This window comes from Homo sapiens, chromosome 5, assembly GCF_000001405.40.
Source record: "Homo sapiens chromosome 5, GRCh38.p14 Primary Assembly".
Lineage (NCBI taxonomy): Eukaryota > Metazoa > Chordata > Mammalia > Primates > Hominidae > Homo > Homo sapiens.
Window position 1 is genome coordinate 175835190 of NC_000005.10, and position 23691 is coordinate 175858880.

At 50.9% G+C, this 23691-nt stretch overlaps 1 protein-coding gene across 3 annotated transcripts in view, besides 1 other annotated feature; it reads left to right on the forward strand.

The window, feature by feature from the left end:
* Nucleotides 1-23691, forward strand: part of CPLX2 (complexin 2) — an 87489-nt gene that overhangs the window by 38657 nt on the left and 25141 nt on the right. The gene's annotated exons all lie outside the window — the stretch shown is intronic.
* Nucleotides 11627-12196: an enhancer, noted in NCBI's record as "H3K4me1 hESC enhancer chr5:175273819-175274388 (GRCh37/hg19 assembly coordinates)". NCBI's record gives its function as "activates a minimal SCP1, AML or CMV promoter by ChIP-STARR-seq in primed H9 embryonic stem cells {active_cell/tissue: H9 hESC(primed)}" and the evidence as "EXISTENCE:reporter gene assay evidence [ECO:0000049][PMID:30033119]".

Consider the following 23691-nt stretch of genomic DNA (forward strand, 5'->3'; position numbering starts at 1 on the left):
TTTAGATCATATTACAGTTACCGGAGCCTGGAGCAGCTAAAACAAGAAAAAGGTTGGAAAACACAACATTGAGAAATAGTTCAATCAATGCATAAGACAGGAATAGTCAGCAAAACAGCTCCCTTTTTAAAAAAGTAATTTATAGCATCAAAAATCTGAATCATGCCTCACTGGTAAATTCTACCAAATATTTAAGGAAGAAATAATACCAATTCTACACAAAATATTTCTAGAAAATAGGAGGGAACCTTCCCAAATCATTTTAAGAGGCCAGGTAAATTAGCTTGATACAGAAACCAGACAAAGGTATTACAAGAAAACCACAGGCCAATATCCCTCATGAACACGGATGCAAAAATCCTCACAAAATATTAGCAAATGGAATCCAACCATCTGCACCTTATTTCCAGATGCTCACAGCTGAGCTCTTCCCAGTGCTGAAATCAAAGTTTTTGTTGAAATCAAATTATTTATTTAAGTGAGTTAGTAAGAGAAGTCTTTGTTGTAAGTGGTTTTTATTTATTTATTTATTTATTTACTTTTTTTTTTTTTTTTTTTTTTTTTTTTGAGACAGGATCTCGCTCTGTCGCCCAGGCTGGAGTGCAGTGGTGTGATCTTGGTTCACTGCAGCCTCCACATCCCGGGTTCAAGTGATTCTCCTGCCTCAGCCTCCTGAGTAACTGGGACTACAGGTGTGCACCATCACGCCTAGCTAAGTTTCATATTTTTAGTAGAGATGGGGTTTCCCCATGTTGGCCGGGCTGGTCTCAAACTCCTGACCTCAAGTGATCCATCTGCCTCAGCCTCACAACATGCTGGGATTACAGGCATGAGTCACCGCGCCCAGCCGCAAATGGCTTTTAAAATCTCAACTGACTAGGCCAGGCGCGGTGGCTCACGCCTGTAATTCCAGCACTTTGGGAGGCCAAGGCGGGCAGATCACGAGGTCAGGAGATCGAAACCATCCTGGCTAACACGGTGAAACCCCGTCTCTACTAAAAATACAAAAAATTAGCTGGGCGTGGTGGCGGGCACCTGTGGTCCCAGCTACTTGGGAGGCTGAGGCAGGAGAATGGCATGAACCCGGGAGGCGGAGCTTGCAGTGAGCCGAGATCGTGCCACTGCACTCCAGCCTGGGCGACAGAGCGAGACTCCGTCTCAAAATAAATAAATAAAATAAAATAAAATAAAATCTCAACTGACTTAAGTAAAAAGAATAAGGTGAAGCACTGGTTCGTGCTCCTGGTCACTCAGGTGACTGGAACGAGGCTCTTACTCAAGTCCACAGGGAGCCAGCTGCCTGCACCCCTCAGCTCTACTCTCCTGGGGTTGTCCCATTGTCTCAGGCAGGTTCTCCAGCGGGGTGGCGAGATGTTGCTATTCTCACCAGGTGTTTGTCCAACCAGCTGCAAGTCATCTGGAAAGAGGGGCCCTCTTTCTGGGGAAGCCCAGAATTGAGGTTCAGCCAGGGTGGGTTACACAAGGGTTTTGCATAAGCATTCCGTCTTCAACTACCCCGTCCTCTGTCCAAAAGATAGAGGCCTTGGCACAGAAAACAGGATAAAAACAGTAGTAATCATTCTCAATCCATGCCTCCCTTTACAGTCTATGAAGCTCCAGCAGCCATCGTCCCAGCTGATCCTTGCCCTGCAAGGCAGGCAGAGCAAGTGCCAATGTCACACCCACTTTACAGATAAAGAACATGAGGCCCAGAGTGCAGGCAGTGGCACAAGTGGTGCAGCCGAAGCTGTGTTCAGTTCAGAGCTGCAAGATGCCACATCCCAGGGCAGTTTCAGTTCTCAAGAAAACCTCTCTAGAAGAAACTAGACCCTAACTTGGGTATCCCAAAGGAGTCAGGGGGAAAGGAAGCACGGGGCCAAGGCTTGGTCACCACTGGTCTCATTCACTCCCTTCTCCACACCTGCAAGGTGGTCTCACTGACCTGAGGCTCTGAGAGGAGCTGTGACCTGGTCAAGGTCACAGGGCTAGGAAGGGAAATTCAGACCCCAAGCTGTGCTTCCCCCTGACCTTCACTTAGCTCTGAAGAAAGGCCTCGGGGCAACCCCACGGGGCGTCTCTGCACGGCTCCCCGCAGCAGGCAGCAGGGGCTAATTGGAAACTGGAGCCTTGAAACCTTCCCGCCCTCCCCTCTTCACCTGGAGCCAAGGCCATCTGTTCCCTTTTGTCTTCAGGCTGCAGGGGAAGATGAAACTAAATTTAAATACTAATAATACTTAACATTTGTCTGGAAAGTGTTTTGCACACTAATTGCTGATTAATCCTCCCCAGGCCCCAGAGAGATCTCCCTGTCTTTGTGTCCCCATTCTGCAGACAGACTGGTGGCTTTCAGACAGAAAGGAGCTGGACCAGAAGGCTGGAAGATGGATTCGGGGCGTACTGTGCAAGACCTTTGCCAGAGCCTGAGCAATTTCCATCTCTACTCAGCTGGATGGGCGTGGTGAATAAATTCATTCAGTTCATTGTTGCTCCACAGCTAACAATAAAGCTGGGAGCTGGGTCCAAATGGTGACTTGGCTGTCTACCAGCTGCTTGGCCATGGGCAACCCCCACCCCCTCTGAGCCTTGGTTTCCGTATCTGTAAAATGTACATGATGCTCCCTGTTGGTTGGGTCAGCCTCCCCAGTGTTACCAAGCCACGGGGCCGGACACTGGGATGCTACATTGAACCAAACAGAGAAGGTCCCAGCTTCCATGCAACTTGCAGTCTAGTCAGAGAGGGAGATAATAGTTAAAAATAAGCAAATAAGCAAGGTAATTACAGCTCGTGATGGTAAGGCTGTTAGAAAACAATTTTGTAAATGTATTTTTTAAACTGTGATATACCTCAAAGATTCTTCTGGGTGGTAGAGTCCTATTTTTGTTGCAACATTTATCTAGAAATCAGAGATGTGTTCCCCAAGAAATGGTTGCAAAAGACGGAAACATAGACCGGGAAATTTTGCCAACGTAAGGGAGCGTCCTAATGGGTCCTGGGGCAGACAGGGCGCCGTCAGCTGCCCACCCTTACATTCCTGCATGGAGGGCAGCTGTAGCTAGCATTTCTCACCCCTCCTGTCTTTTTTTTTTTTTTTTTTTGAGATGGAGTCTTGCTCTGTTGCCCAGGCTGGAGTGCAGTGGCACGATCTCGGCTCACTGCAAGCTCCACCTCCTGGGTTCACGCCATTCTCCTGCCTCAGCCTCCCGTGTAGCAGGGACTACAGGCGCCCACCACCAAGCCCGGCTAATTTTTTTGTATTTTTAGTAGAGATGGGGTTTCACCGTGTTAGCCAGGATGGTCTCGATCTCCTGACCTCGTGATCCAACCGCCTCGGCCTCCCAAAAGTGCGCGTGAGCCACCGCGCCCGGCCCCCCTTCTGTCTTTCATCTTTATACTTCCCCAGGGGTTTCTGGGCTGCCCCCTCACCCAAGCCTCAGAGCCAGGTCTTTCTTATGGAGTTGGAGGCTGTGACCACATGGTTTTCCAGCTTTTCTAGTTCTTTGAAGTCCTAAGATTCTACATCAGGTCTCATAGGCCACCGCAGGGAATGAGGGGACCCAGGCAGGGGTCTCCAGGCCCCCCACCACTCACGCAGCCAGTGCATCTTCACTCTAACTTTCTTACCCATTTGGCTTCCAAATCAAATGCAACTAAAAATAGAATCCCATTTCTATAAAATGCTTGAAAAATAGCTTTCTTCAGGGAGATGACTTGGAGTTGGGACACCAAGATTTAAATCCTGGCTCTGTCTCCTAAGAGCAAGTAACCCAGAGCAGGCCGGCACTGTGAAATGAGGTTGCTGTCTGACCAGAGAACACAAGGAAGGTCGTCCTGGCAACAAACCCAGTGTAATGCTTGGGGCACTCCATAAGCATTTTTTAAAAATGTTTTTAGAGACAAGAGTCACACGATGTTGCCCAGGCTGGCTTTGAACTCCTGGACTCAAGCATTCTTCCCACCTTAGCTCTTGAGTAGCTGGGATTATAGGCACGAGCCACCACATTCAGCTTTAAGCATGTTTTTCTTTTTAATTTTTCCTCAAAAAAGAATGATACAACTTTTATTTTCCATGAATTTTTGTTTTTTTGTTTTGTTTGTTTGTTTGTTTGTTTTTTTGAGAAGGAGTCTCGCTCTGTCACCCAGGCTAGAGTACAGTGGCGTGATCTCGGCTCACTGCAACCTCCGTCTCCCAGGTTCAAGCGATTCTCCTGCCTCAGCCTCCCAAGTAGCTGGGATTACGGGCATGCACCACCATGCCCGGCTAATGTTTGTATTTTAATAGAGATGGGGTTTCACCATGTTGGCCAGGCTGGTCTCGAACTCCTGACCTCAGGTGATCCGCCCACCTCAGCCTCTCAAAAGTGCTAGGATTACAGGCGTGAGCCACCTCATCCGGCCTCAACCTTAAACAATTTTAAGGTGATATGTTTGGTAATGTATCTGTGATCTTTAAAAGGTGTAGAGTTTTGGGAATGTACAACATACAAGGTAAAACCAAGATTACATTAAACATTATTTTATCCTCTGCACTAATTTTGCAGTGAGGCACAAATGGCAAGTACACTATTAAATGACATTTACTGTCAAAATTAGGAACTTCATTGGAATTACTCTGAAAAACTTAAGCCACTGTAACTTGACACAATGACACATTTTTCCATTTTAGGACATCCAATTATATATAAATCTCTGGACTATTACATTCAAACTCATTTGTACTGCCAAATGTGGCATTTTAAAGAAGTTTCTAGAAAACAATTGCAATCACTGTTGTTTGGGGGGAAGGTTATCACCCTGTACATAAGAGATTAAATTAAAATAAAATGTAAACATATAGTATATTATAGTGACAGGTCGTTCTTACCACTCAGAAAGGCCAAATTTATCCATTTCTTTTTCGAACAAAGGTGATTTTTTTTTCTACAGAACATATCCTTTGACATAAAACAATTACAATACATGCCCATTCTTTTTTAAAGGAAAGTCTTCAGAGATCTTCAAAGCATAAAACATATGTTTTTTTTTCAAAGACTGACAGAAATGCTTAATAATCACTAAAATGCCAACCTCAGCAACTAAAAATTAGTGATTCACTATACTGAAATTAAAATAGCTTTAACAAGCTAGTTATAGGTGTTTTACAGATAACAGATGTGATAAAACAAGAGTTGGAGAAGTTTTAATTTGCGTCTTTTCTTCAGGTATTTAACAAGATAGAATAGAGCTGGGTTGCAATATCTTAACTCCACCACCAGGTGGACCTTGCCTGAGAAGGCCAAAAGAAGGCAAAACAAAGTCACAACTTAGATTTTCAAGCCTATGGCTTCTAAAAGTCGGTGTATCCCATTCATTTTAAAACAGTAGATGCCTCCTTCTTTCACTTAAGAACTCAATGTCAAGTCTTCCTTTCATGGAGGACGAAAAATCAGCACCATCCCTCTCAGGGCAAAATAGAGAAAGCCCACTCAAGCACTGTTTTCCTAATGCAAAGGCATGAAGTTCTTTGCAGGATTGACAGGGTCTCACCTCTTCTGTATTAGGCTGGTGCCAGGGAAAAGGGCAGGCATGGAGAGGAAGCAAGAAGACTGTCTTGCAAAAATGTCAAGGAAACATCCCCTGTTTGCACACATGTGGGAAAGCGAGTGGGCCAGCACATGGTGTGACAAGACTTTTTTTTATAGCATGCTCAGCTCAAAGAGCTTCCTCTGTGCTGGGCACACAGGTGTCCTCTGCAAGCCACACAGCAGCCTGACTATCCTCATCTCACAGAGGAAACCAGGGCCCAGGAAAGTGGGTAATTCACCAGCCTCCCACACCACAGTTGGGGAAACTGAGATTTGAACTGAGAACTCTCTAACTATGAAGGGCTGTGCCAGGAATGTTTTAAGGTAGAAACAAGGAAAGCATTGACCTTCATGCTTCAATCCAAGACACAGAGACCTTGAGGTGAGTCTAAGACAGTGATTGCTGGAGGCTCCAGTTCCCATACATACCCTCTGGTGAGCTTCTCAGCATACATCTCAGCCCACTCCAGTTCCCCACACCACCACATACATCCCCCCAAAACCTGCAAACCCAACACGGAGACAGACACTCAGATGCATAGTCAGAACTCATGCCCACACAGAAGGGCAGTTTGTGCAAGCTCCCAGCAGGTGCACACACAGGCTTACGTGGGCACCAGCACACAACAAAGCACAAAGGTGCACCTGGGAGTCACGCTTGTGAAGAGGACATTACACACAGGAGAAGTGCACATCAGAAACAGCCTGAAGCTAGAATAGAGGCAACCAGAGCAGGGAACGTGGGGTACACCTGCCCCACTCCTCAACTACCCTAAAACATGCACTCCTGCTGCTAGCAAGAACCCTATGTCTGAGACCTAGATTCCAGGGACCCCCCAAGTCTCTTCCACACTGCAGGCTCAGAGGATCAAGGTCCCTTACCAGCAGGGACACATGAGTGCCTCTCACACAGAGGCATCCTCTCAAGTGGCTCTCAGATGTGTAGGAGGGCCATGTCTCCCTTCTTTGCCTTAGATCAGATTGGCACAGTGGTTAGAAGCAGAGACTGAATGGGAATCCCAGCTCTCCTCCTGCCTGGGTGGGAGTGACCTTGGACAAGTCTTCTTTTCTATAAGCCTCAAATTTCTCGGCAAAATGAGGGTATGATACTCACCTTGTAAGGTTTTAGTAAGAAATGAGATAAAGTGTAAACATCCAATAAGAACTGAATAGATGTTGATTACCTTTTCTTGGACCCCACTCTCCTAGCACTCGCTGCTCAATGCAGCAGACAGACAGACACCATTCAATCAGCCACAAGCATTCCTCCCATAGGCCCTCCCTTCCAGGGGCTAAGAATTGCAGCGAAGACAGAGATCTAAGCAGATAATGACTGTCCAGCATGGAGGGCCATGAAGGAGGACACACTGCTGGTATGGTGGGAGCCCAGAGGAGGAGACAGCAAAGCAGTGGCACAGCAGGCTGCCCAGAGCTGTGGGTGCCAGCAGGATGGGGGCCATAAGGCCACATTTCAACCGAAAACAGCAGGTGGTAATCATTTCCTCAATGACTCCCACTATTGACACTTACTGAGCACCTACTGTGTACTAGACATTTTACATGTCCCTGTGAGTGAACCAGTGCTCTAATCATACAGCAAAGATGCTATTATTATCTCCTCCTAAAGAAAAGGAAACCAGGGGAGTAGGCATGACCTGCTCAAGGTTACAGAGATCAGGGTGAAGCCTGACTGCAAACCCCACACTCTTCCCTGATGATCCCAGCTCTCAGCTCCTTTAGCAAACGGCCCCGCTTCCTGATTGTGCCTTCCTCCTCGAGTTCACTGGGAAGACACATGGTACCGTGGTGACCCACATCACCATCTCTGCAGAGTCCAGCACCCCGTGGAAGGACGGCCATGGGGCCTGCACTCCAGGGTTCCCCTAATCCTCCTCCCCTGGCCCCAGCCAGGCCCTCTACCTCTGAGGCCCTTCTCACCCACCTGCACTTGCAGGACAGCTGCTCGGTGGCCCCAGCACAGGCCTGCGCCTCTGGGTATTAGGCAGCCTCTCCTGAGCCCTGGCATCTGCCAACCCTGCCCTTCTTAGACTCTTTGGCTAAACACCCAACTCGTGACAACCATTTCACAGAGGGAGAAACTGAGGAAAGAAAGACCAGGGGCCCTAGAGGTGAGGGCCGGCACCCATGCTCTGAAGAGAACATCCCACCAAGTTTCCCCTCTAGGCCCTGGCGCAACTGTGAGTCTAGAGACCCCTCTCCCTACCTCATCCTTGGGAATCAGCAGCCATAGCTTTAAACAGCTCATCCCCCCAGGCTGAGCTAGGATTACAGCAGGCTTGCCAGTGAAGGAGGTTACCAGCGAGATGAGTCAGCCAGCCAGTCAGGGTCAGCGGGTAGGGGAGGGCCAGTCGGTCAGGCAGACAGCAGCAGCCACCCAGGGTCCAGAGCCAGTCTCTGAGGCAGCCAGACGGGGTCAGCTAGTCAGACAACAGGCTGGCCTGGCTCACAGCCTCCTCCAGCCCCTCTCTCGAGCTCTGCCTTCCCCACAAGCCTTTGATGGGGCCTCAAAGCAGTAGCCAGAAAGCCCCAAGCTGTAAACACTGGCTCCCAAGGCACACACACTGTGGTCTCACGCATGCACACACCTGCATGTGCTTACTGTGTGAATGTCCCCCCAACACACACACACAGCGCTGTGCATGCCTAGGCACGCATACACCAGGCACACATGTGTGCATGCTTACTATGTCATGTTGCACACAACACATGCTCACAGTCACGCACACACATACTCACCAAGGCACACTCGTGGCCTCCTTCCTGCTCACATCTTTGTAAATGAACGCAGGATCTCCCCTGCTGATGGGGCCCCTGAACAAGGGAAATCCAATCCCTACCATCACCTAAAGGGCTGAGAAAGCCTTGGGTCGGGGAGGCCACTCCTCACCAGCAAAGGGTGAGTGAGGGAGCAGGCAGGGCCTGGGGTCAGGCCCAGGGTCTCGCTCCATGTGAGCCAGGCTGTGAGCCAAGTGGGTGCCTTCAAAATTAGGTGCTGGCTCCTCTCACCTGGGTTCCTCCAACTGAGGGGAAAGCCTCAGGAGAGAAGGTCGTTGTTACCTGCTATAGCCCCGGGCCAGGTGGCTGGGCAAGCCAGCTGTAGGGAGGGTTCCCAGGAGCACAGAGCTCTGGGCAGGTCCCAGCCCCACCTCTGAGACCTCCTTTCACCCCCTACACAGTGTTCTCTGATTCACTGCCTCCTCATTTGGGGCCTTGCCCATGTGGGGCAGATTTGAGGGCAGAAGACCTGTGTGCCTACCCAGAAATGACCCTTGAGCCCACCCCAGCATCACCTCACCTATAGGACAAGGTTAGTGATCTTCATTAAAAGGGGTGGGGTTTCTGTGCAATGCTATCTAGGGACCATCTTGAGGATGGAAGGCACTGCCCAGGTGGGAATCACCAATGCCCAGCCAGAGGCCAAGGAACACGCCAAGAGGAACAGCCAGAGGCTGCCTGGCAGTTTTGAATGTTAGCAGCGGGATGGAGACAGGGGCTCATTCCCAGAAATGGAGGCACCCAGAAAGGCAAGAAGTTTCTGTTTCTTCATCAGGAAAATCAGTGCCTACCACACAGAATTGGTCACGCATTCATTCAACAAACCTTTACTGAGCTGCTACTGTGTACCAGGCACTGCGGTTAGAGGGGCCAATAGGGACAGACAAGAGCCTGCTCTCTTGAGGCTTCTGTCTGGTGGGAGAAGACAGACAGTCAACAAGGGGACAGATGGAAAAAATAAAACAGAGATTGTCAGCTGTGACAAGGAGGGTGGCTTGTTGTATAAGCAAAGTCAGAGAGGGTCTCTCTTGGGAGGCAGCCTGAATTTGTCTGGCCACCTGAAAAAGAAACCACCAGCCATATGAAGAACAGAGAGAACAGCCATGGGGCCGAGGGAGCAGCAAGTGCGAAGGGCCGGAGGCTGGCGGAGCTTGCTGCAACTCCACGAACAGAGGGATCCTGTGAAGTGGAAATAACGTGAATGAGTTTTTAAAAGCAGGGCGTGGATTTAAAAAGTGCCTTTGCAGGGGGAGGAAGGGACCAGATGATGTAGGACATTGTGAGGACGACCAAACAGCACGTTTGTAAACTCCAAGGGCTGGGAAGATGAGTCTTTGTCGAGGGCTGGATTGTATTTCTGGAAAGCACATTTCAATGCAGGAGCCTCTAGGGTGGATGGAAGACACCAGAATAGCTACAGAACAGAGGCTCTGTGAGCTTTTGGCTGCCCCTCTGCCCAGAACATTCCCTAACAAGGACCAGTTCTTAGAAGGGGAAGCCCCAGGCAGGCCCAGATGGTGACCCAAGAGAGCCTTCCGTGCCCATGGAAGCACTTGCCTGCAGCTTCTGTGGCCAACAGATCACTCTCCTGTATGTTTTCTCATTTTCTCTTCACAACCACTCTGTGTGGGAGTCAACAGCAGACACCTTTTCCAAACCAGAAAGCTCCTTAAAAGGGAATCACACATGTCCCTCCTGTACTTACAACCCTACAAGGATCCACTATTCTTGGACTAAAACCCACAGCCCACTCTGGGACCCGCAAGGCCCCACATCACCTGGCTCCTGCGGCCTCTCCGGCCTCATTTCCTCAACTCTGCCCCTGCTCCCACACTGCAGCCACATGGCCTTTGGTCTATTGCTCCAAAGCACCACCAGGCTCTTTCCTGCCACAGGCCCTTTGCACCTGCTTTTGCTCTCCTTGGCAGATTATCCCATCAGGCAAAGGTCACTCCCCCTCATGAGGGCCACTCCCCCTAGAGTAACTGCCCCCATCTGCGTCACTGTGTGTTATTTTCTTCATATTTTCTTCAGAGCATTGCCTGAAATTATCTTGTCTTTGCATGCTTAGGTAGTATCTTTGCTCCTACTGGACTGTGAGTCTCTTAAGGGCGGGGACTCATTGGTGCTGGTTCCACGGGCCTGGCACACTGCCTGGCACAGAGAAAGAGCCCGAGGGATATTTGTGGGATAAATGGATGAGTGATGTGCCCAAGGTCACGTGGCTGTCAGATAACAGAGGCAGAACTTACACCCAGGCCTTTGGGCTGCTAAGGGCAAAGTTTTCTCCTAGAATCCCAGGACTTTGAGGGAAACCCAGGATGGGTGGGCCTGGGTCCCAGGAAAGGGGAGTCATTTGTGTTCCTCCTGGCTTCCACCCCTCTGGCTTCATCCCCAGCAATCTGAAAGATGCAGATGGCCTGTCCCCTCACCTCCTGAAATCAATCAGGGCGAGACCTTAGTGAGGGCACTAAGGTCTGACCCTCCTGCCCACACCGCACCTGTGGCCTTTTCCTTCCTTCATTTTGAGGCTTGGCTGGCAGGTCTCCACTTCTGGCCATGCACACACACAAACACACACACCCGCACCCCCCTGCCTGGCCAAGTCCTCCCCAAGGGTGGGGGTGAGGCCCAGCACTAGCCATTCTGCACCCCCTGATTCCTGGTCTGTGACTCCACAGGACAGGCATGGCAGATCAGTTCTCCCTGCCCTGTAGGTTCCCAGGGCTCAAGGGCACCTGTGGTCAGCCCCGCAGTAGGATGAAGAGTCAAGAGGGCTGCGTGGAGAGTCAGAGGACCTAGACTCTAGCTCTCTCCACCTCCCTCTGCCTGTATGACCTTGGGCAGGTCACTTCCATCCCCTGAGGCTCAATTTCCTCATCTGTAAAATGAAAACAGGGTGGATTTAATGGTCTCTGAGGAATCTTCTAGGTTGAAAGATAAAGATTTTTTGGGATGCTGGACATTTATTGAACACCAACTGCATACCATCCCCAGATACTGGGCATTTATTGAACACTACTGTATACCACAGCAAATCCATGACTACACCCAGACTCAGAGGGACAAAGAGGCTTGCTCAAGTTGTCCGAGCTAGCAGGTGGCAGAACTGGGATTTGACCCTGGCCTGCCTGATTTCTCTTCCCCAACTGTTCTAGGAGCCTTTGCTGCCTCAGCCCCCCAACTCAATGCCACTCCCCCATGCCTGTAAGCTGGACTTCTGTCTTCTCTGTCTGAAAAGTTTGCTTTTGCACTGAATCCCTCCCGGGCTGCTGGAGTGTGATTTGCTGCCTGACAGCTGGAAGTCAAAGCAGCAAGGCTAACTCCATCCTGCAGGCCTAGCCAAGCTCAGGGGCCCTGAAAGTTTCCAGGGGCAGTTAGACCAAGCTGGGCAACCTTGGGCACGTTGATCAAGCTCTCTGAACCTCGGCCTCCTCATATGTAGTGCAGGGAGGCTACTTCTCCTATTTAGGAGGCGTTGAGATGAATCAACAAGGTGGTGGCACCAAGGAAGCAAAAGGGAGACCCCCGCCTGGAGTCTGGGTGTGTAAATAAAGAGGCGTGGGGCCAAGGAGGGCTTTAGGGGCCTCGTCCCAGGCGACGTGAGGCCACCGCAGGAAGTTTCTGAGCAGGGGAGTGCTGTGAGGCGAGGAGTATTTTAAGAAGATTCTTCTGGCAGCACAGACCAGGTTGAGTTGGAGGAGCCGCGTGGGGGAGTGCGAGCGGCGCCCATGCCTGGAAAACTTTGCAAATGAGGCCCCCTCTTGGAGCCCTTCAGGATCCAAGGCAATCTGAGAAGCAGGGGCTGGGTCCGAGGTCTCACCCCCGACACAGGTTGCATCTACAACCTCAGGGCCATCAGCATCCCCAGAGCAACTCAGACAGGCTCCTAGTCCATCACGACGTGCCTTCGCTCACAGCATGCGTGGCCCACTCAGAGCCGCCGCTAAAGCTAGGATTTGAAGCTGGGTCTGTAGGACATCAAGTCCAGCGCTCTTCCATCAGAGTTACACATACTCCAGGAACCTTGCCTGAGCCTCAGATGGGCATCTTACTGCCCTCAACTCAGCCCAGGGCAGGATTAGAGAGAACGGGAGGTCCTGCTTAGCTGCAGACTCAACAACTCCTGCAGGGGGCATGAGAAGGCGGCTGCAGAACCTGCCCAGACCACACACAGGCTCCACTACATGGTGCCAGTCACAACAGAGTTAACCCTGGCTTCCCCGATTCTGCTAGTCAGGCAGCCACCATGGCAGAGGCACCAAGAGACACTGCCTGGGACCCCCAGCCCCTCTCCTCCAATCCACATGTCTGTCAGTCCCCCCGTGAGGTTCAAGCTTTCTCAGCTGCCGGCGAGTTTTATGGCCTCTGATGCTGACAGTGCTGTTCCAAGTCTCTCACCTAACAGCTTCATCACAGGGCTAATGGTCACTGCTATTCATTCAACAAACAATCTGTGATGCTTGCTTTGTGCCAGGCCCTGGGGCCAAAGAGATGTTTAGACACAGCCCTGCCTCAACAGCCCCAGGCTGGCAGCAAAGAGACACTGCAGGAGATGGGAGATAGTCTGTCCAGCCAGGAAACTCCTAGAAGTCTCCCCAGAGCCCATCATACCTATAAGGAGATCTGAGGGGGGCGGGGGGCAGGGAAGCCAGACACAGCCATTGGTAGGGGAGAGGAAGGAGTGTCCCCAGCATGTACAAAGGCTGAGGCATGATGAAAGGCCCCAAAAAGGAGGGACAGACTGCTGCAGAGGGGCCCATCTACCCAAGGGGGTCAGGAAGCATCCCTGGACCAAGCGATGCTGAGCTGAGTTTTGTGTAGGAGTACAAGTCAACCAGGGGACAGGAGGAGGACAAGGCATTCCAAGAAAGGGAGAAGCAAGTGCAACACAGGCAAGGGAGAACAGGGTGTCTTCTGGCAATTGCAAGGTGTTGTTCAGTGTGACTGAAGGAGAGGGCACGAGGGAGGCATGGGCAGAGTAAGACTCAGAGGACTCAGGGGCTATTTCAGGTGCTGGGACAGAGCCACAGGAAGGGTGGGTGAGGGTCCTACTCCTAGAGAAAAGTCATTCTAGTTGAGGAGATGCAATAAACACATTTAAATGAATAAAGATAATTCCAGACAGTGGCAAGTACTACAAAAACCATTAAATAGAGTAGTGCAATAGGAAGTGAGGTCCTGTTTTAAATATAGCAATCAGAGGGGTTGCTTTGGGGAAGGGACATTCAAGCCAGAATGTGAATACCAAGAAGGAGCCTGCCAGGCAAAGATGAGCATGTTTCAGGCAGCAGAGAGCATGTGCAAAGGTCCTGAGGCAGGAACAAGCTTGGCAACCCGGGGAAGGCAGGGAGTCCGTGTGGCTGAAGCAGAGTGAGCCGGGGAGAGCAGAAGGAAAGGAGGGCATAGAGGAGACGGCTCAGTTTGCATGGGCTTCAGAGGCCCAGAGAGTGACTGGATTGCATTCTACCTGTGCTGGTTTCTTCTAAGCCAATGGAGACTTTCAAACAGAGGTGTGTCGTGATCTAACTTACACTTCTCAGGATCCCTCCTCTGCTGTGGGAGGCTGTGCTGGTGTGTGTTTTTAACACCAGCCAGTGCTGCCGTGTGTGCAGGACCGATGTCCACACTTCACAGGTGGAAACAGAGCACAAAACAGTCAGTTTGCTTGTTTGGGTGGCACTGACCTGTCCATTGTCACCAGCCAGCAGCTCAAAGGGATGTCCGGCTACCCTTGGGTGAGGACAGGGTAGTGTGCTCTCTGATTCCAAAGGGACACCTGATGGTGAGTTTCGCAACACTGGACGTCCGTGTATACTTTCCTGGGACTGATGTCACAAAGAACCAGAATCTTCCTTAGGCCAAGAAACATGGACCCCTCATCTCATACACAGGACCTCATGCATGCAGCCGAACCCCACACTGGATGTTAGAGGCACAAAGACTTGACCTTGAGGGGCTCCCAGCATGGCTGGGGAGATAGCACATAAGCAGAGACTCTCCCTGCACAAGGGGGTGCTACCACGCTGGACAGGGGACCACACTGGCTGGGGGAGCCTTCTCAGGGAGAGAAGAGGAGAGGCTCCTGGAGAGAAGCCCTCTGCCGCAGGTCCTCGTTGGGGTCATCATGGGAGAAGCCGGGCTTTGGAGCTGGACTCACCTGAGCCTCTCGGTGTTATAGCTCCCCTGCTGCGTGAGCTCCAACAGGGCCCTGGACCCCACCCTGGCTCCATCTCCCCTTGGAAGCACCTTCCTTGCCTTGCTCCAGCCATTGGGGTCATGGCATGTGGCCTCTCACCAGGTGGGCTCTCAGCAAACATGAGTCCCTTCCTCAAATATTAATGGAATTGTCCCTTTGGGGGAACGACCGTGTGACTCTGAGCATGAGAAGTGTGGTTTTGGGTACCATCTGTTTCCCACTGAATCAGGGGCTCCCTGTGCTCCAAAGGAGCCACATACACAGAAGTCATCCTTGGGAATGTGTGGTCTGTGCAGCGGGCCACACCACGGCATCAAGGCACATGAGGGCAATGGCGCAGGCCGAGTGAGGAACCTGCTGTTGATGCTGATCAAAATACTGGAGTTTGCAAGTGACAGTTTTTTTGTTTTTTTTTTTTAAGCAAATTAGGGTTGATTCAAAGATTTCCCTGTAACAACGTCACATTCAGGATGATCTAGCATCAGCCAGATATGGGGCCCTGGGGTCTGAGGTCACCCATGCAGGGCCCAGCAAGGGGGTGGTATTTGGGCCGTGCCTTGAAGAAAAGGAAGGGCTGGCTGTATGGAAAACGCAAGTCTGGCAGGAGGATGAGTGGGCGGGAGACAGAGGCAGGAAAGCTGCACAGGCGCAGGGAGCCTCCAGAGGTTCCTTTCGGCTGGCCAGAGCAGACTAGAGCCGCACTGGGAAGGACCCTGACCACTAAGGTCAAGGTCTAGTCTAGACTCTGGCCAACACACCTGCACTTCCTCGGAACACCCCCTTGATGTTCCACATCAAAAGGTGCATGATCAAATAAGTTCTAGAAATGCCACATGCTGCTTCACCTCTCGGAAAATCATCATCCACAGGAGCACAGCAAAGGCCCTGAGAAGTCCTGCAGGGGAAGTCTGTCTGATTCCATTTAGCCCAGCAATCCCCACTCATTTGACCGAGGGCACCCTCATCCCCAGAACCCCCACTAATATCTGCAAGATCCACTTTGAAAAATGCCACCATAGAAAGGGGTGAATTGCTGAGCAGGGGCAGAGCGATGTGTTCAGAGCTGGGCTCACTGAGTCGGAACCAGGTGAGGGCTGGGAGTGACGAAGGGGCTGAGGGAGCCAGGCTGAGGCAGAGACACAACTAGGAGGCTGTGTGTGGTGCAGAGTGGGGCTGGGAAGGCCTGAGGAACCAGAGGCAGGAGGGAGGTGGTAGGGGCAGAGAGACGAGATCTCAGGGGGTGAGTAGTCCAGATTTGGCATCCAAGCAGACCAGGGATTTGAGCTTAAGGAACCACAGAGATGGTAGAGCCGCTGCCTGAGGTGGTTCTGGTGGGAGATAAATAAGTGTGGCTCAGGGCATCTTGCGTGTGAGGAGCCTGTGGACAGGTGGCTGTACCACACTAGAGACAAAGCCCACTTTCTTGTCTCTTCAAAGGTACCCTCAGGTTGAAAGGTGGCCCCCTTTGGTTTGAGCTGGGGAGCCCCTTAATGAAACACACCAGCACCATTCATTCATTCCTCCAGTAAACAGCTGTCAGGTCCAGTTGGGGCCAGGTTGAAGGGCCACGGTGAAGCCTGCACAAAGGCCCAGTGAGGCTGGGGCTGACTGCCCAGGGCAGGTGCCATGTGTCCTGGGTCATAAACAGTCACACAAGGAGAAAGGGCATCCCAGGCAGAGGCACGTGCAGCTTGAGGTGCTGAAAAGGGTGTGGAGAAGAAACACGTGACTGGAGGGAGATTTCCCCCACAAGAAGTCACTTCATGGCCCAGACCTCAGCTTTCCCACCTGTGAAATGGGCGTAATAACTTCCACTGTGGGGTCCTCTGCAAGGCCCACAGAGGAATGGCTGCGGAAGCTCCCTCATCCACACTCCAGGCCCTACTAGGCCTTATGCCAGCCATGGGGGCCACCAAGATGAATGAGTCTCAAGACCAAGGTAGGCTTCTTTGTGCCACTGGCACAGGATATCTGCTTTTTGCCCTCCAGGGTTTAGGAGGTGGTTATTGCTGGAATCAACGCCGGGGCTGTCCTCAGCTCCCAGGGACTAGGTTCCAGATGTGTGCATCTGGCAGCCGTGCTTTGGTCCTGGCTTGAGTGTGAGGATCCGTGGGCCGCTCAAGAAGAGGCAGATGTATTTTGACAAGCCTGCCACAGCTTCTGCAGCATCCTGAGTCAAAATAAGCCCTTCTCTTGGGCAGCCCCTGGGACGGGCTATTTCTGCACCGTGTTTCTTTTTTCTACACAGGGGGCTGAACAGCAATGATTCCAGCTAAAAACAGAAGCTGCCCCAGCTGGAGCCCACAATATTCCCCTCAATGACAGAAACCTCAGCGCACAGCCTGTCAGGAACTCAGGAAGTCTTTCGTGTGGGCTCAAACTCAGATAATTTCCCCTGAGGGTAGGCAGTCCAACTCCAGGAACACTCTGATAGCCTTCCAACCCCAGGTGGTTACGAATAATAAAAATAAGTCCTCACAGGAATACGAAACTTTACCAATGACAAAGTATTTTCTTGCCTAAACAGTAACTTGTTGAGGGGATTCTATTATTCCCATTTTAACAATGAGCAAACGGAGGTTTTGAGAGTTGACCTGCCTCTGGAGGGATGGAGGAGAGAAGATTTGAGCCCATAGCTGTTGAACTGTCTTGGTAGAAAGAAAGAGCCTGCAAAAGAGAAAATGGAATTGCGGCAGAGGTGGCTTCAAACAGTTTCTCGGTTTGACCAGATCAGCACCAAACAGCTAGAGTTCTTGCTTTCTGTGCCAGGCACCATGCAAAGGCACGTACATTCACACACTGCATCTCATTTAATCTTCCGAACAGCCCCGGAAATGGGGATTGCTGTTGCCTTTTTCTGGATAGGGAAACTGAGGATCAGAGAGACAAAGTGTCTTCTTCCCATTTGGCTACAAGTAACGCAGGTTCAACCTGGGGTCTTGTGCATCCAGCAACCATGCAGAAAAGTCCTTTGCCTCCCTGGTACTGGAAGAGCTGAGGCCAAGGACCAGCTAGGTGGGATGGGAAGTAGGGCTGACCCCAGAGAAAGCAGGGCGGGCAGGTGAAGGTGTCTCGCGGTGTTTTCCAAACCCAGGGAAGCATTGGCATCTCCGTGACTGTAGGTGGTTCTGTGGGTACCACTCTCGATAGCAAGTCATATACTGAGGAATCTTTCAACACTCCAGTCATGTCTGTGAGGAAGTCTCAGTACGTCCTCAGCAGTCTCTAATGTTAGCCCCCTCCCTGTCCATGACCAGAGGGCTAGCCTCAGACTGAGGGCCCAGGCCCAACAGCGTGGGGCAAGACAGTACACGGGTTTCCTTTTCACTGCATTTATGTGCATTGTTACCTTCTGTTAATAACAAGTGATACTAGTTTTCTGGTTTAAAGTGCCCATGTGAGGTTTCTTTTTTAAATAAATGCACCAAAGCGTTTTATTTTTGCAAGTGAATGAAATGAGAGAAATGTTAAGTAAATAGCATAGGTGGTTTGGAGACGTGGCAAATACCATAGAGGTGCTACTCCACCAGTCAAGCCGGGGACACACTGGCTCCTCAATTCTGGGCCAGCCCTGGCAACAGCCTCACACGGTGCCCCTGGAAACAGCTGTGAGGACCCCTGAGAAACTGGCCCCAGCGCCCCTCCTCCGAGAGCTGCCCGGCCTCTTGTCTTTCAGGGTTGTACAGAGGCTGTCAGGAGCTCCAGGCCTCAGTCCCACCCTGTCACCTGCTGAAAGAGCTGGGTACCAGGTCTTATTTGTCTCTGGGCCCCAGTTCCAGCACAGGCTCCCACAGGCTTGCTGGCAAATATCTGTCTATTGTGCCCTGAGATATGCTGGGGACAAGGGGCAGAGTCTCTCGGAGGTAAAATTATGAAAATAGCAACTTGAACCCATAAGAGGAGACGGTACAAAGTCAGCAACTGTCTGCACCGGCCCCTTCTCTCATGGACATCCAAATTCAAGCCCTTCTTGTGATGCAATAGGAAAGGGCGGTTCTGGAACCACACGGCCAGAGCACAGATCTCAGGGGCCTCTGACGACTGAGGGCCTTGAGCAAGCGGCTGCACTTCCCTCCCCAGCTTCCCCCTCTGTGGAGTGCGATTGCTGCAATGCCCACTTTCTAGGTCTGTTGAGAGGCTCCCTGAGTTCATGCAGATGAAGAGCTTACAGCACCCCTGGCCCATGGCACCCCATTCATGGTACCTGTTCCTCCATGGCAGGCACTGGCTAGCAATTCCCAGATGTTATCTCAAGCCTGGCATCAGCCTGGGAAAGTGGGCTCAGAGAGGCGCAGTGCCTTGCTCTAGATCACACAGCCAGAAAGTGCTGGGGCTGGGTAGGAGCCCAGGTTCTCCAGCTTCATGCCCGGTGCCCTGTCCCCAGCACCCCTGAGCCCCTACCCATGTGTCCTTGTCCTGAGGCCCCCACTTCTCACAGCTCCTCCTTCCTTTGACCAGCTCTTTTCTCCTTTTATCTTCCACAGTGAGAACTCTTTTCCTTTTGACCAGGGACAGCCAGGCCTTCGTTTGCTGGATCAATCTTAAAGCTCCCTGCTGACCCCAGCCTTCCTGCCACCCTTGCTGCCTGCCATCCCAGCCTAGGTTTCCTCCATAAAGTCACTGGGGAAGCAAGGACTCTTGATTGCATGACACAGAACCCTAACTCAAACTGGGGAGGCGCAAATAGTCCACGCAACCTTTCTGAGCCTCAGTTTGCCCTTCAGTGTAATGGGGTCATAATGCTACATGCAGTACAATTGATGTAAGGATGAAAGGAAGCTATGCATGTCAAAGCCTTAGAACCGTGCCTGGCAGGTGGTGAGCACTCATTATCAGCGTACTATTTGTATTATTATTACTACTGTTATTAGCACTACTCAAGGCATGCGGGGTCAGAGACACTGCCCCATCTTCAAAGAACTCACTGTTAAGAAGGAAAAGCCTAAATATGTATACAAAGATAAGTAAACATCCCAAGATCACAGCAGCCTACGAGACAGCAGAGCCAGAGTGAATTTTGCAGTGTCAGAGTGATACAACACTGCAGTCAAACAGGTGTACCATGATCCAGCGCCACAGTGGGAGCGAAAAAATTACACAATCCATTGATTCCACAAACATTTACCAGGTACCCGCCATGGGCCAGGCGCTGTGCCAAGGCATCGGGGCTGCAACAATGGCCAGACAGACGTCATCTCTGCCTCTGGGGGACTCCCACCCAGCAGAAGAGATAAACCCAGAACAAATAATTATTGAAGTTCAGTGGAGCTCAGAAGAAAAATTATATTAGGCCATAAAATGTCTACCAGAAAACAGAGCTTAGTCTGAGGGTGTAGCCAGCAAGGCTTCTTTCCTGAGGACCTGGGGATTAAAGGGCATGACAGTCGGCAGGGAGAGCAGCTGGATGAGAGCAGGAGAGTAGACATTACACACAGTATTTAGGGGTGACATCTGCCTTCTACCATAAGGCAGAGCAGTCGAGGTTCAGTCCAGAGTCGAAATGTGTGGAGTCTAATCCCAGCTCTACCATGTGCTAGCCGTGACCTCTCAGCCAATATAAGACACCTCTTTTAGCCCTAGTTCCTTCATCTGCGTAATGATCACAATGTCAGTACCCCACTGGATTAAGTGAAATAACACATGTGAACTACTTAGCACAATGCCAGTCAATCCTATTTTAGATGCAAGTGATAGAAAAACAAATGTAAATGGTTTAAGGCCAAAGGAGTTATATTTGTTCATGTAACTGATAAGTTCAAGGGTAGATCTCTGGATTTCAGGAAGGGCTTGATCCAGGAGCTCAAAAAATGTGACCGAGGTTCAGCCTCTCTCTGTCTATCAGCACCTCTTCTGGCGTGGCTTTCCTTTGCGGCAGGCTCTTTCCACACTGTGACCCTGCAGCTTCAGGCTCATGCTTTCCCAGCTCAGTAAGTCCAACAGAAAGAGAGGTTTTCTAATATTTTCAGGACGAGCCCCAGGATCGAGTCTCACTGGACCATCTTGGATCACATGTTCATCCCTAAATCCTAGGCCTGGATTACATGCCAATCTCTAGAGCTTGAGGGAAAGGAGATTCAATTCCATCCAAACCACATGGCCAGAGAACGGGAAAGAGTGGTTCCCCAAGGTAATATTAAGGTGCTATACGGAAGAAAGGCTACCAGAGAAAATAGGACAACCTGCGTCTACCATAGCAACCACACAGAGACACAGGATGACCATGGACAGTGCAGAATAATCCCTCAGTGCCACCTCATCCTACATCCAGCCATGGAGTGAGCCTCATCTCCCATGCAGACATCCTGGTTCCAGAAGGACAGATAGGTTAAGAGAGCAAATTCTTGGACTAAACAGCCTAGAAGCAACCCTGGTATAGCACCTTCTAGTTGTGCGACCTTGGCAAGTTTCCTAACCTCTCTCTGCCTCTCTCCTTCTCTGTAAAATGGGCATAACAATAGTACTTACCTCATAAGGTGGTTGTGTGGCTGAAATGAGGTAGTATAAAGCTCATGTAAACCCATTTTCGTTAAGCACCCAACTGTGTGCCTCACATTCAGCTGAGACTTCTGTACAGTCCTCATCTAATCTTCACCACAGACATGGGTTTTTGTACCCCTGCACTTCTGATGAGGAAACTGAGGCTCAGAGAGGTGCAGTGACTTGCCTACAGTCACCCAGCTAGTGAATGGCCAAGCTGGAGCCCAGCCCCAGGCTTTCAAATGCAACATCTGAGCTCCCGCCACGCTCCGCGCAGAGCCAAGCCGAGGAATCTGACAACCCAGCAGCCCAAGTGGAAAGACAGAGCAGGTTTCCAAGGAGAAGGAGGAGAGGTGTTGGGAACATGCAGTTATTTACAGGATGCCGTGTGGGCTGCGGCATGCGAGAGGGAGCTGTCCTGAGGTGAGGAGGGAGCGGGAGAGACTGGGTCCTCAGTTTCCTCATCTACAGACAGAGATGACGATGGCAGCCTCTCACCAAGAGTGGGCTGATGAAAGGACGTGGCAAATGTGCAGGGCCTGCGCACAGCGGGTTCTCAGGAAGGTGGGGGGTGGGGAGGACCAGCTGGGGTGTGATTGGTTGGCTGTTGTCTTCATCAGTAGGACCAGAGCCTGACCCAGGGACTGTGGGCCTCAGCTTTCCCAGAAATGAGGAAGGAACTTGCCTGGATCCTTCACTGCGGACCTTGGTTCTCCAAAAATGGCAATTCGCTAAGGAAACTGAGCTGACAAATGCAGTCAGAGAATTTAGAACTGGGGACTGAAGAACTGAACTAGGGACTCATGACAGATTCTACCTGCTTATTAAAACCTCCAAATGGCCCCCATCTCAGTCTGATAGCATCCAGGCCTCTCACTAGGGCTGATGAGGTCCCAAACAACCTGGGACTCAGTTCCCATTACATTCCCTGCCACCTGGGCTCCATTCTGTCCTGGGAACAAGCCAAGCTCACTCCCAGCTCAAGGGAGCATCCTTCAGGCCACACTTTCTGCCCCAGATCTTCAGCATGGGCCTCATCCAATTTTTCAGGTCAGGCTCAGATGTCACCTCTAGGAGCCATACTGGGACATCCCTGTCCTGTCTTTCTTTCTCATATCAACTGGCTTTATTTCTGCAGCGCACTCACCACTCTGAATTATCTTTCCATTCACAGATGCTCCTTGACTTACAATGGGTTTATGTCCCAATAAACCCATCGTAAGTTGAAAATACTTTAAGGTGAAAATGCATTTAATACACTGAACCTACTGAGCATCATTGCTGAACCTAGTCTACCTTAAACGTGCTCAGACACTTACGTTAGCCCAGTTGTGCAAAGTCAACTACCACAAAGCTGCTTTATAATAAAGCGTTGGATATATCATGTAATTTATTGAATGTTGTACTGAAAGTGGAAAACAGAGTGGTTGTATGGGTACCTGAGGTACGGATTCTACTGAATGTGTATTGCTTTCACACCACTACAAACTCAAAAAAATCATAAGTGGAACCATTGTAAGTTGGGAGCCATTGTATCTGTTAATTGCCTGTCCACTCCCACCAGAAACTCCCCATTAGGCAGGGCCCTCCTCTGCCTTATTCACCCAGTATTCCAGCTCAGAGACATGCCTGGCCCAGAGCACGTGCTCAGGGAGCAGTGTTAAGTGAGCACGAAGGTGCTGGTCTCTGCCAGACATGGGCATGATGGTTGATTCCAGCTGCTGGTAGCTGTGTGCCTCCCAGCAGCGCCAGGGCCTGTGCATACACTGTCTCAGCCCAGCAACGTGCCTGCAAGGAAAGTGTCAACATCCCACTTTGCAAATGAGGAAACTTAGGCTCAGAGTGGAAAGCTGACTTGCCCAAAGTCACACAGTGAGGGCCTGGCAAAGTCTGGATACAAACCCAATGCCCCTTCCTGCCATTCCCCGGGGAAAAGAGCTCTGAAGAACAGTACATAATAGGAGGTAAGAGAACTCCTTCGGTGAGACCCTCCTGGAGCCCCAAAGTGCTCAATACTGAGGACTGGGAATCGTGAGCTGGTGCCTGTGGTGGACATGACCAGAGCACAACCATACCCACTTACCCCTCTTCTGAGCACAAGCGACACCACCCTTCCCAGCCCCCTGCAGCGGGCAGGCCCAAGGCACTAGGCCTGGCCAATGAATGGTGAGCAGAAATGTGGCTATTGGTGAATCCACGAAGACCCTGGCAGGGAGCATGGGCCACTTTATCTGGCCCATTTGAGGAGAGCTACATCAAGGCATGGGCAGCGTGAACAGATGCCACAAGGATGGCTCAGCCCCCGGGGGCCAGTGTCAGTGGGGAGCCATTAGCACCTCCAACCTGAGGGGCGAAGGAGGAGCAGCTGCCAAGCCTAGAGAGGGTACAAGCAGGAAATGTACACAATATATTACACCAAAAATATCCCAGTGACAAAATGACATGATGATGGGGCCAAAGCATGGAAGGATCTTGCGAAGTTATAGGCACCGGCTGCAAAATGCAAAAAAGCCTCCACCTTCAGCTGAGAGACACTCTGATTGTGCTCTTTTCCTTGCCTCTAATCCCTGCCAGTACCTCTTTGATAAAACCCAAGAAAGCTGAAGACCAAGGGAGCCTGTTGATTGGTCTATGTGGGGCAGCCTCCTGGCCACAGG